Below are 13,921 nucleotides of genomic sequence, written 5' to 3' on the forward strand. Positions count from 1 at the left end.
TTAGTTTAGCTTTTTCCAAACGTGTTTACTCAGAGATACCTATTTTAGTTAGGAAGAAAAAGAGAAATAACACCAATTAAAGCTAATTGAGGCTGAATTCTTGTCAGTCTTAAAAGAATCCTAATTGTTTCTCTTTGAACTGACTAATCCATAAAAGTTTTCTGAAGGGATGGGGTGTGGTTGTATTTGATAGCTTCCATTTGGATGATTTCTACTACCTTTTTTCTTGTTTGAGAACTATTAGAACGAACATGATCATTTTTTCAAGCTGGAGTGCGGTGGCACGATCTCAGCTCACTGCAACCTCTGCCTCCCAGGTTCAAGCGATTCTCCTGTCTCAGCCTCCCGAGTAGCTGGAACTACAGGCACCTGCCACCACACCCAGCTGATTTTTGTATGAACATGATCAATTTTATACACATAGAACATAGTAAAATGCTGATAATTATAAGTTGTTTGTTTACTCATTGTAGCTATTTACTGTGTGATCAACTGTGAAATTTTGTGCAACCCTCTCTCAGAATGGAAAAAAAAGAGGATTTAGTCTGAGTTTCTGAGAATAATTTTCCAAGTATATCTGGAAAGGTAAATTGATTTTAAAGGATATATAATTGATTAATTAAAACATCATTTCATAAAACTCATTTTATCATCCACTGTGAGAGCAGCTTCAAATGCCCTCAGATCTAAGTATCAAGCCAAGTGGTACAAATCATTTTCATGCAACTGAAGATACCATTTATGTTGGAATAGCCCCCAAAAACGAAAATACACGTGACCTGTTTAACTTTGTGCTAACTGTTACAATGTATGTGTGTTTTGTTTATTCTCTCATAGGTATGAGAAAGTGCCAGTCATCTTGGTTGGGAACAAAGTGGACCTGGAAAGTGAGAGAGAAGTATCGTCCAGCGAAGGCAGAGCCCTTGCTGAAGAGTGGGGCTGCCCCTTTATGGAAACTTCCGCTAAGAGTAAAACAATGGTGGACGAACTCTTTGCAGAAATTGTGAGGCAGATGAACTATGCTGCTCAGCCTGACAAAGATGACCCATGCTGTTCTGCATGTAACATACAATAGCATCCAAATATGGCTGTCCTGGATGGGATTTGCCCAATGTCGTAGGTGATAGAAAACTCGCCTACTCCACTGCAGAACTTGCAGAATGCGTGGTGTTAATCTACAGAGAACTGCAGCCCTTATTCAGAATTGAGCAGTGATTGTCAGTTGATATCTCTGAGTAACATTTGGGTTCAGTAACTACAGTTTTCACCATTTGTCCTCAGTCTCCTTTATGCATCTGCAACTTTAAGGCATAGTCCATCGATCTACAGGGTGATCTCATTTGAAAGCTATGATGGCATTGTCGCTGAGTTGACAGAAGCAACTATTGTACAAATTAAAAATAACCATAAGGGAGAAACCAGAAGAATTCCTCTGACCACTTACAATTAAAATATTTTGTCTTCTTTAAAAAAATAAGTAAAGGAGAAATATTTTCCTACAAGAGTACTGAATTTCAGGAAATGGGATAGAGCTTCTAACCAATGTATTCCGTCAAGTAAGATAATAACAGCTGACCTGCCAACAGCATTACAGGGAGATTCTTTGCTCAGCTAACACATTTCTGTTTTTCAAAATTGATGCTTAATTGTAGCTGTTATTCTAATTTGTGACATGGAACTAACTCATGCTTCAATCCTTGATAGAGCAAAACTCAGAACAGGTTATGTAAAAATATAGTCTGGCTTTAGAATTTGTTAATTCACCTGCTTTGCCACAGAAAATGGAGGCTTTCACAAGGGTTTGATCAGAATTAAAACCCCAAACCCGCCCTCTGTTAGGGGTGGTCTTTATAACTTTACTGAACAAGAGGGAAGCAACTGTGATGGGAAGAGATTACCTAGCCTTACTAACAAGAAGCATTCTAATAGATAAACTAGTACCATCATGTAAGGAAGATGAAGCCATGTTGCATCCACATGTTCCCGTTTGCAGAAACCTCACAGGACAGTACGAATATCTGGCATTTTTAAGTTCATTAAAGCAGCAAATTCCTTCTCGCCTTTAAGGGCTATGGTTGTAGTGTGACCCGTGGCTAACCTGCTTTCAAAATCAAGTATTTGCTGTAGCAGAGCTTTATTGCAGGCATTTTAAAAATTGAATAACCATGTGAAATAATTTGGGCTTAAAAGTGAACATAAATTATAGAGTGGAAGGTAAGGGACAAAAGCCTTTTACCTTTAATTTTCCTGGAGAATTATATAAAGGTTTTCTTAGAACAATTTTGCCCTGATTACTGAAGCGTCAAATAAAGCTGGAGTGAAAATTTTGTTTTGAAAAGGTGCTCAAGCTCTGACATTTTTGGTTTTCATAGTCGTGAAGTATTTATCATTTGCATGACTAATGGCACAGGAAAAACCTATTCATAAGTTTTACAATCAAGTATAGAGGGGTCTTCAGCTAACTTAGTTATACATAAATGCTGAAAAGATTATCTTGAGCTGGGCCTTGGGAGAAGAATTTGGCCTTCAGAACTGCAATATCACTGAGCCTGCGATCTATACACCACCCCACATTTTGTTGGTTTCACAGTCTTGTGCAAGTAACCTCTGGTCTTACGTGTGTAACTGAGAGAAGAGTGTGTGTTTGTGTGTGCATGTGTGTTTATTGTTCCTAAGAATTTGGCACAAGTCAGAGATAATTGCCTATACTAAGAATCTATACTGCAGAATATAGTGTATCAAAAACTTTTTTCTTTTAAATTATTAAAGTGTCTTTTATACTTTTATGAAATCATTGGTAGCCCCCCAAGTGTTTAATAACTGGCATTAAGCTTAGAGGGTGAAAAAAAAAAAAAAGATTGATAGTATTTTTCATAATGAAAAAACTGAAGAGATACGTGAATGAAACCAGGCCATAGCTGTCATAAATCTTTGACTTTTGAATATTTACATTCTTCAGTATAATTTTTTATAATCCTCAATTATGAACCACCTTGTTTATAGGACAAAAAAATTTAACCAATTTTATTGAAACGAATTTCACTGTGTAAAAGTTGGTTTGATTCAAACATGTAGAGAAGTTGTAGATTCAAGATATATGATTTCTCTATGGAAATAAAAATATTTGTTAGTGAATTGGTTGAGTTTTGATTCCTCTAACTTCTCAGAATGATTCTTTAGAATTCTATAATTCATAGCAATTTTTGACAAGTAAGATTGCAAAATAGAAATATCTATAAAGATTCCACAGTTTGACATTATGGCTTGCTATGCAGATGTGAAAATAGGTTAAATAATATGAAAGATATGGCAGAATGTAAAGTGGAAAAGATGACCTAAAATTTTGAGTTGTATTAATAGTTAAAAACATTTGTGTCAGATGACAGGGTGGGCTTTTACTGTCAAGACATGAATAAGAACTGATCTGGCTGCCTGATGAGTGTTTCCACGCAGCCCTGCATATTTAGTGACCAAGGCATCAAGGACATCCCGAAACTGGAAATTCATATCCATCTGGTATGAATATATAACTCAGCTGGCAAATGAATGTGTTTGTTGAGATATTACAGTAATAAAACACTTAAGAACAGGAAGATTACATTTGTTGGCATACGAAACCTTAGTGGCTACAGAAGAAAGTTGACCTTGTGTCACTATTTATTTTATGCCCTGATCAGACTAGCAACTTAGATAAGTGAAAGTTTTTCTAACATGCCTTAAAAATATTATGGTTTGATCCAAAGACCCACTTTTTCTTTAGCTCTTGTGATAAGATTTTCTTTTTTTTACTTTTATACAAAGGCAGCATCTTTGAATTTTTTTTTCTTTTGATGTTGCAACTTTTGGGTTCTTTTAAACTGTGATAGTGATGGTAACTGATGCCTTTCATTTTGTTCAACTTATACAAAACAAGCCAGCATCTGATCAAAAGTATTACATAAAATATTTTCTTAAACTATTGAAAGGTGCTTTGATGATTTTCTCCTTTGGTTTGTAGAATTAGGACTGAACTTTTGACTCAAATTGCTACAGTTGCCATCACCTTTCTGTGGTAATACTACTGATATTTGCTTTTCTATATAAAGAAATGTTGCCTAAGGCTGTCTGGTATTTCTTTTCAAGGGTTTTCCAGTATGAATGTTAATGTTGTCAGTGTATGTATGAATATGAAAGTGCTTTGTTTTGTTTGTTGCTGTTTTTTGTTTATGTGTGTGTTTTTAATTTTTTTGTTCTTATCAGCAGTCTTGTGTTAGCACTGGGTAAGCTTTAATTGTCCCTTAGCCAATCAAACATTAAGGACTATGGAGGTCTTTTTTTTTTTATTTAACATGTCATTGTTCATCTATTAAATCTTGATCAGGGTTTCAAGAATGACTGCAGTGGGTTTTGGAAACAGACTTATCATTATTGATTTGAGGTTTCCCAGAGATATAGTTCACAGTTAATTGTTGCGCTCTAATACAACTGACCATTTAAAATTGAACAAGTTTATTGTTTTGTAACAATGTCAGTTGTTAAACCTTGACATTTCAATTAAAACATGAATTGTAGTTATAACTCAATGCAAATTCAACAGTTGTATTTGGAGTTAAATTATTTTAACAAATAAATTTATTTAATGAAACTCTGGATTTGCTTTGTTTTGTACATGCTCATGAGAGAAATGTATTATATACAAAAACAATTAAAAATTGCCATATAATGAATTTAGTACTCTTCATACAAAAATATTTTAGCTGATTTGAGAGTTCATCATATAAAAAGGCAGGTAGGTAGATAATTTTCATAGTCTTTAAAAATAAAAATAACATGTAAGAGACTGTAAAATCAGTTATTATAAATATAAACTTATCTCTACAAATGATTTTATATTTTGAATGGTAGCTGGTTAATTTAAAGCCTGATGCTAAGGTTAACAGAATTGTTCAAATAATTAACATTAATTAGCAATATCACTAAAATGATTCAGAGGCCTTCTAGTGATGGCTTGAAGCCGTCTTTCTGTTTTCAGGTCATGTGGATCCGAAGGTGCCAGAAGCTGAAGGTTGCCGCCAGGCTGTAGGGCCTGCTTGTTCTATATGGGGCCCTATGAAAGTTGACAGATGCTGTTAATTGTATACAGCCTTCAGCTGCTCTGATAAGGAGCCCATTCATTTCCTAAGCCAATTTAAACTATGCCTTTTGGTTATGTTGCCTTCAAACTCTGTTGAAATCCTCTGGCAGCATTCCACCAGTTGAGAAGCTTCATTGTTTTAGATTATAAGAATAATTTGAATGAATATAACAGAGGCACTGTAGATAGAATCCCAGATATTTAAAGGAAAACATGCCTATATTTTAGGAATATCTTCTGAAGAACTTCATAATTTTATTTGAAGTGTTTGTAAATTTTTTAATAAATTATTTAAATGTATCAATAGTGGATAGTTGGAAGAACGTCTTTGAGGCTAAAAAGTAGTACTCTGAAATTCTCTCAAGTTATATTATTTGTCTGTTAGAGGTCCACGAATGAAAATATATGTAGCTAAAGGAGTAAGGTGCTGCCCAATTTGGAACCCAACTGACCTCTAGGATCTATGAAGCAGAGAATATTACCACAAACTTCTGAAAGAAGCTGTTGACCTCGTTTCTTAATTTAAAATATGTTGCCACATAAATACTAATAAAACATAGTTGCTCTTCATCTCTTAAATGGATCATTCCAACTGGTTTTACATCGTTGAATATTATCTAGTATTTTTAATAAATATTTTCATAAATAGTTTTTGTGGTTTTTTTGTTTGTTTTTGAGACAGTCTCGCTCTGTCACCCAGGCTGGAGTGCAGTGGTGTGATCTTTGCTCACTGCAAGCTCCCTCCCGGGTTCACACCACTCTCCTGCCTCAGCCTCCCAAGTAGCTGGGACCACAGGTGCCCATCACCATGCCTGGCTAATTTTTTGTATTTTTTAGTAGAGACGGGGTTTCACCATGTTAGCCAGGATGGTCTCGATCTCCTGACCTTGTGATCCTCCCACCTTGGCCTCCCAAAGTGCTGGGATCACAGGCGTGAGCCACCATGCCTGGCCTATAAATAGTTTTTAGATAATATTCAACATCCCCAACATCGAGGTATTGAGTTTTAAAAGATTTGCTGCTATTCTAGGTAAGACGCTGTGTTATTTCTTTCTATATTTTCTTAGTAGTCTTCATGTTAGCCTCTAAGGATTCCTCCAAGATTTCTCAGCAGAGAAAAAGGTAGAGGACTAGCTGCTTGAAAGAGTAAATACGAAGACCTATTTAGTATGTATGAGTTGGGAATAAAACTGAAGGAAAGATTCTTGGTTTAGCTTATGGGGATTTTTTAGTATAAGATCCTCCCATTTTAAAAACTTCAGTATCAATGATTCATATTTACAGTTTTACACTATTTTGAGTGTGATGTGCTTTTATACCTTTAAAAACATCAGGATTAGTGAAGGGAAGAAAAGGTCACCCCAAGAGGATCATGAGGTCAGGAGATTGAGACCATCCTGGCTAACACGGTGAAACCCTGTCTCTACTAAAAATACAAAAAATTAGCCAGGCGTGGTGGCACACACCTGTAATCCCAGCTACTCGGGAGGCTGAGGGAGGAGAATCACCTGAACCTGGGAGGCAGAGGTTGCCATGAGCCGAGATCGCACCACTGCACTCCAGCGTGGGTGACAGAGGGAGACTCCTTCTTAAAAAAAAAAAAAAAAAAGTCACCCCAACTTTCAGTTCCCCAAAACAGCCATGTTAACAATGGATGTAAATCATTCCCAGCATCTTCCTATGCACATATACATATGCAAGTACGTGAACATAGGTAGAAGGATAAATAACTCGATGTTACTTTTGAGAAACTGGCTCTAAGTACTAAAAATGAATCACTGAAAGTCACACAGCTAATAAAGTGGCAGAGTTGAGTTTCTAACTCTGCCACTTAATTTCTAATTCTTCTAACAAGCTCCTAACTCTAAATGACCTTTTCCCCACTGTTAATCCTTTCACTTAAATTGAATCCACTCATTCCATGCTCATTCAGCTATTATTTATTGAGAGGTTACACTTGCATCTGGCACTGCCACAATACAGAGATGGTCATCTACACATAAACCCTGATGTCAAAGACATCCTAGTCCTGTCTTCTTGCCATTCCTTTTTCTCTTAAGGCAGATACAGTTTAGTTTACTAGCAAGAAATAATTTGTACCTTCCCTACTTTCACATGTCAGCATCCCAGTAAACCCAGGCTGAGCCGAAATTCCAGACACAGCCCCAGAGACTGCTGCTGGCTCTGTTCACTTTTCAAGATCGGTGCATCAGCCTGAGCTAGTCCCTCCCGGGATCTTGAGGTGTCTGTGGGACACAGTAGACGGGGATGGCAATACAGCAGGGCTTCAAGGCTCTACTGTTACAGGCTGGGTCTACTTCTCAGGAAGAATTCAGAGTAAAAATAGGATTAGTGAGGGGCAGTGGGGATACAGAGGCAGGTTGGGGACAGCAGGGCAAAGGGTTCTATGTATCAGATACTACACTGAAGAATAAATGCTGGGTCCATGCCTATAGTTAAATACCAGGTGTTTTTAGGTTTCAGTGAGTTTTTTTAGTTTAAAATGTTGGTTTGTTCACAGCACAGCTCTGTAGTGTGTTCTGAAGAGGTCTTATACCATGAGAGGGTTTGCTGAAAACGATGATAGAGTCAAGCAAGTTTGGGAAACCCCACATAACACATCTCACATCTTGGAAAAAACTCAAATTCCACTCATGTCTCAAAAATAACTAGACCCCAGGACACTTTCTTTCAATTATACATAGTAGCACTCTCTGGAGCACAATTTGGAAAATGCTGCTATTAGATATTTGGCCTCCAAATGCTGATGTGGGAACTCTGTCCAGGTGAGGGGACCTGGATCGGTTGTGAGCGTGAGAATTCCTCTGACCCCTGTAGTCTCTAGAGGGATGGCAGAGAAAGGGAGAGGGTTGGGTGCAATAGCTCATGCCTGTAATCCCAGCACTGTGGGAGGCCAAGGTGAGTGGATCATTTGAGGTCAGAAGTTCAAGACCAGCCTGGCCAACATGGTGAAACCCTGTCTCTACTTAAAGTACAAAAATTAGCCAAGCGTGGTGGTACATGCCTGTAGTCCCAGCTACTCTAGAGGGTGAGGCAGAAGAATTGCTTGAACCTGGGAGGCAGAGGTTGTAGTGAGCCGAGATCAGGCCACTGCCCTCCAGCCTGGGTGGCAGAGGGAGACCCCATCCTAAAAAAAAAAAAGAAAAGAAAAGAGAGAGGGAGAAGAGGAGAGGAGGCAATCTACAGTTGATGGACATTGGAGTCATTCCCAGTTTGAGTCTATCATGAATAAAGCTGCTATGAACATCTGTGTACATGACTTTTGGTGGATAGACACAATACTCACTCCTAGGTCACTATCTAGGAGGGGAATTGCTGAACTACAAGACTTGATTGTCAACTTTGGTAAACATTGATAGTTTTATCAAGTGGTTGTACCAGTTTACATAAACAAGCAACGTGTGAGTACTCCAGTTGCACCATGTCACAGGATGGATTGCCTGGGAAGAGGGCTGTGATACAGAGCTTAGTGTGCAGGATGCTTATTACCAAATGTCCTTGGGATTAACTCCTGTGGAAGGGAGTAGAGGAAGTAAGATTGGCCAGAGGGAGAAGTTGTGTGATGCAGGGCCAACAACCCCCAGACAGAGGGAGTTAGAATGGGGCCCTTAGAATTGTCCTGAGTTGGGCTCAGATGGTTTAGTCCTCTGTACCCTCTGCCTGTCAGTCACTGTGACCTTGAACAAGATGCAGAGGCAATCCCTGAAGGATCAGAGAGTGAAGGTTGTCAGCATTCTCAGCAGCAGGGCAGCAGTTACTTGACTGAAAGGAGGTCCAGGTGGTGCCTCATGGCATCTACCAACTCCACCTTCCACACACATACCTGGCACTGTCAGGCTTTGTCATTTTTCATTTCATTATTCTGGTGGGAGCGTGGTGGTATGGCATTGTGGATTTCACTTCATGTTTCTCTAAGGCCAATATATTTATATGCTTATTGGTCATTGGTTACCCTCTTTTGTGAAATGGCTATTTATGTTTTTTGCCCATTGAGTAAATGTTTTGTTTACTGTTTCATGAAGTGACTCAAAAAAGATTTATTTAATCTTTTACTTACATATTTGTAGGAGTTCTTTACATTTTCTGGACACGTGTTTATAAGTACAGTGTACTATCCCAGTCTGAAGCTTGCCTTTTCACACTCTTGTTGATATCTCCTGATAAACAGAAGTCCTCACTTTTAATGAAGTCAATGCACCAATCTTTTATTTGATGGTTAACTGTTTTTGTGTTCTTTTAAAGAAATCTTTGCCTACTTTAGGGTTGTTCTTGACCTCCAGCCCCTCAGGGGTATGCTGAGTTGACCTTATGAATATGATAATAGGAAAATAACCATTGTAATCATACAGTTTATTGAACAGTGATACACCAACCATCATCATCAGTCTTTGTTTCATATTATTGATGAAATATTTAAACATTAATAGAGCTGGCTCTTGGCCAGTGTTTCTGCAAATGTGTTCCATCAAGTACTAATGTTGAATAGGAAAAAGATTTCCATGGTCGAATAAGTTTGAGAAACACCTGCTTAAACAAAGTTAAATAGGCTCTTGTGGTTTTCAATATCCTAATGTGGATTATGTAACATTGTGAGATATAAATACATTATGTTCTGCAAACTATTTAACCATAGGATGCTAGCTTTTCTTAGAACATGTCACAGGACTAGTATTTCATAGTTTGGTAAATACTTCGCAAGGCAAAGGGTATGATGTCCAACAAAAAACAGCTTAATAAAAAACTGAATCTGAGAGTTCATAGTGAAATTAAAAAATAATAATAAGGATGAGCCATTTATAGGATACTAGCTAATAGATATGGAAAACAGAACCAAGAAGTCATCCCTTCCAATCCTCCACATCAAAGTAGATTCAGGGAAGGATCAGCAATCAGCAATGCTGAGGCCATTGGGTGGAAGGGTTAGAGGGAAACATATATTCACAAATTACTTCTTACTTGCCAAGGGAAAGAGGTAGCCTTTCAGTGATAAGAACTGGCGGACACCACATGAACCAGGTGATCAAACCAAGCACTACCAACAAAGGGACAAAAGTCTATCATGGGCCCCTCTATGACACAAAAGGAAGCACCCAATGTCACCTATGTGGTATCTTCACCTGGATCGAATCATGGAGAAACAATCAGACAAATCCACATCATGAGACACGCCACAAAAATAGGTTTGGATGCTTCCAAACTGTCAATGTCTTGAAAGACAAAAATAATGGGATGGGGGGTTAAGGGGCTGTGCTAGATATAAGGAGACTAAAGAGATTTTTTTTAAAGAAAATAATGCATCCTAACATTTTTCCAACCTCCATCTTTCAAATGTGCAACATAGCTCCATCAAATTCTACTGTGTATAGAGACTCTCAAAAGAAGGAAAATGTGGCCCTCCCCTTAACAGGATGCATCAGAATCCATGTGGCGGCCAGGCGTGGTGGCTCACGCCTGTAATCCCAGCACTTTGGGAGGCTGAGGCGGGTGGATCACGAGGTCAGGAGATCGAGGCCATCCTGGCTAACAACATGGTGAAATCCTGTCTCTACTAAAAATACAAAAAATTAGCCGGGTGTGGTGGTGGGCGCCTATAGTCTCAGCTACTCAGGAGGCTGAGGCAGGAGAATGGCGTGAACCCAGAAGGCGGAGCCTGCAGTGAGCCAAGATGGCACCACTACACTCCAGTATGGGTGACAGAGTGAGACTCCGTCTCAAAAAAACAAACAAACAAACAAAAAATACATGTGGCTCACTGTAGAAAAAGCCAGTCTTTCCCCTGCCCTGGAAATCTGGGAACCTCCTTCCATTGCAGATTGAGCTCTACTCCTTTCCCACTGAGAATCCCTGGATTAAGCTAGGTGTTCCTTGTAACATAAGTGAGACTCTCAATACTCACTGCCCAGAGAGCCCGACTGCTGATCTTTTGCTGCCTTTATGGTTGACCAAGGCACTGCTGTCCTGGGGCAACAGCAAGAGCAAACCAGTAATTGCAGAGTTTATGCCATGAAAGCTGAATGGAAGAGGTGGGGCTAGACATGTATGGGCCCCTTAAACCAATTCAGCTGTGTCTACTCTTCCTTCCCTGCTCCTTCCCTCTTTTCATTCCTTCTTTTGCCTCATGTGCCACGAGGACCTTTCTGTAGCCCCGTGTCAGTGGATTTTCTCCACATCCTAAACATAGACAATTGCTAATTAAGTCATTCACATTATTTCCGTTTGAGAATGATTTTGGCCTGTTGATTGTTTTTCTAGCAATAAACATCTTTCTGGAAGAGGAATTAGCTCACTTGAGCAGCTGGTTTCAACAACTCCCTGCATTTTCCTTCAGCACCCAGGGACATGTGATTTGTAACTAAAACAAAATAAAAATGCACAAACTCTTCTCATTCACTCATACCAATAGTATTCGCTGTGTAATTTTTTCAAATGACCGACTTCTTTCCAAATATACACAACAAAACTGGTCAGCATTAAAACTGCGAGGACAGTGGTTGTCACTGTTTGCCATTAGATCTGTCAACTCCTTTGTGGAGCCTCTCAAAGCTGCCCATGGCCATAGCCTTGGGCCTGGGGTTGGAGTGGAGAAGAGCTGGCAGAAATGGCTGCGGACTGGAACCCGGCTGGAGAACCAGGGCAGGTACTTCTTGGGAAGGACCAAGGGAGAGTCCTTAAAGGGTAACCTGACAGCGTCCTCAGGGAGGAAATGTGATCCTAAGTGGAAAACCATAAATAATGACTCCTCTGCTCACGACTCAAAGGAATTCCAAATAGTAGCAACAGAATACATCTTTCCTTTTCATCTTATCTGAAGAGTTGCTAATGTTTCTTTAAGATGACTGTGTCCTCTTTTTCTTCATACAATGACTTGTCACTTCAGTCCTGAACAAATATTGTCTGATATATTAGCATATCAGTGGCTTAGAAAAATATAAAGGTAAAATGTACTAGAGCTGAACAATATAGATCCCCTAGTCACTCACTTTTAATTACATTTGGATGGATTATTCATTGCCATGGAAACTCTCTACCCTTACCAAAATTTTTAGGCAAGGATCTCCTCCAAGTTTCACAGTTCTGTGTCTTAAAGACATTTCTTGTTCTATTTATGAGTTTAGAAGCTATGCGGCAATTTCCCATTGGGATAGCATGCAACTGTAGCTGCTGTCAGTTGCTCAAGACAGTTAATATAAAAGATATTGCACCAGAGATTGTGAGTGAAGTAGTGGGTGTACCAACACATTCCATGATTCCAGCACTGGTTTTGACCGCCACCTTATAATTTTTTCACCCAAGGTCCAGCTCTACCAAGTACAATATGCTTTTAAGGCTATTAACCAGGGTGGCCTTACATCAGTAGCTGTCAGAAAGAAAGATTGTGCAGTAATTGTCACACACAAGATAGTACCTGACAAATTATTGGATTCCAGGACTCACTTATTCAAGATGACCAAAAACACTGGCCGTGTGATCACAGGAGTGACAGCTGACAGCAGATCCCGGGAACAGAGGGCGCAATATAAGGCAGCTAATTGCAAATACAAGTATGGCTATTAGATTCCTGTGGACATGCTGTGTAAAAGGAATTGCTGATATTACTCGGGTCTATACACAGAATGCTGAAATGAGGCCTCTTGGTTGTTGTATGATTTTAATTAGTATATTTGAAGAACTAGGCCCTCGGGTGTACAAGTGTGATGCTGCAGGTTACTACTGTGGGTTTAAAGCCACTGCAGCAGGAGTTAAACAAGCCGAGTCAACCAGCTTCCTTGAAGTGAAGAAGAAATTTGCCTGGACATTTGAACACAGTGGCAACCGCAATTACATGCCTTTCTACTGTGCTATCAATGATCTAAAATCTTCAGAGACAGAAATTCGAGTAGTTACAGTTGAAATTCCTGAATTCAGGATTCTTACATGAGCAGAGACTGACTGCACCTTGTTGTTTCAGCAGAGACTAAACATTGTCCTTAGTTTACCAAATCCGTGATGTCACTTCCTCTGTGTTTGGTAACAACAAACCAACTTTATGGAGGTCTCTGGATTGAAAAAGGAGGCTCTCCCGCTCCTCCTACCACTGAAGAGGTTAGGACTCTGTATTAGTAAAAACAATGCTTTTTGGGAAAAATGTAAAAACTAAAAAACGATCGTTTGCTTTCTATTGCTACAGATTCTTTCTATATGAAACTACTTCCTTTATTGTCTTTGGTTCAGTTGATTCATTAAATGGCTCTTTCCAATATGGTAGCCATTGGCCACATCCATGTATGGCTATTTAAATGTATATTATTAAACTTAAATAAAATTAAAATACAGTTATTCAGTAGCACTAGCCACATTTCAAGTCACATTAGCCACATTCTAAGAGTTCAATAGCCATAGGTAGGTAGTGGCTACACATTAGTGTGATATACAGCATTTCCATCATTGCAGAACATTCTATTAAACAGTATTACAAATAAAAGTTTGCTTATATCAGAACTACTCAATTTTATTTGTTCAAAAACAATAAGGGACTAGAAACATATATGCAGAGCTAGCTTTATGTGTAAACAACCCTACACTTAGAAGAAATCAAAGCTCGGTTCAGTGCTCTGTTGTAGTCCTGAAATTTTTAATAATTTTGAACAAGGCTCTGAGTTCATGCACAAGGCTCTTCAAATTAAGCAGCCAGTCTTGCACTATATAAGATGAAGCTTGGCTGTTGAATTCTTAGTTTTCACTTCCCCTGCAATTGGTTCTTTTCCAGCTGCCTTTTTTTTTAGAGCAAGGAAGAACAGTTGACACATG

At 38.8% G+C, this 13,921-nt stretch overlaps 1 protein-coding gene and 1 pseudogene across 1 annotated transcript in view; both read left to right on the forward strand.

The window, feature by feature from the left end:
* The window catches only part of RAP2A (RAP2A, member of RAS oncogene family), a 34,960-nt gene extending 29,199 nt beyond the window's left edge, over positions 1 to 5,761 (forward strand). The window contains exon 2 of the mRNA NM_021033.7: positions 838 to 5,761. Coding sequence (NP_066361.1) covers positions 838 to 1,075 — 238 coding nt within the window. The 3' untranslated portion in view covers positions 1,076 to 5,761. The remainder of the gene's footprint in view (positions 1 to 837) is intronic.
* Positions 12,336 to 13,264, forward strand: PSMA6P4 (proteasome subunit alpha 6 pseudogene 4; annotated as a pseudogene).

The sequence above is a fragment of the Homo sapiens genome, chromosome 13, assembly GCF_000001405.40.
Source record: "Homo sapiens chromosome 13, GRCh38.p14 Primary Assembly".
In the NCBI taxonomy this organism is placed as follows: Eukaryota; Metazoa; Chordata; class Mammalia; order Primates; family Hominidae; genus Homo; species Homo sapiens.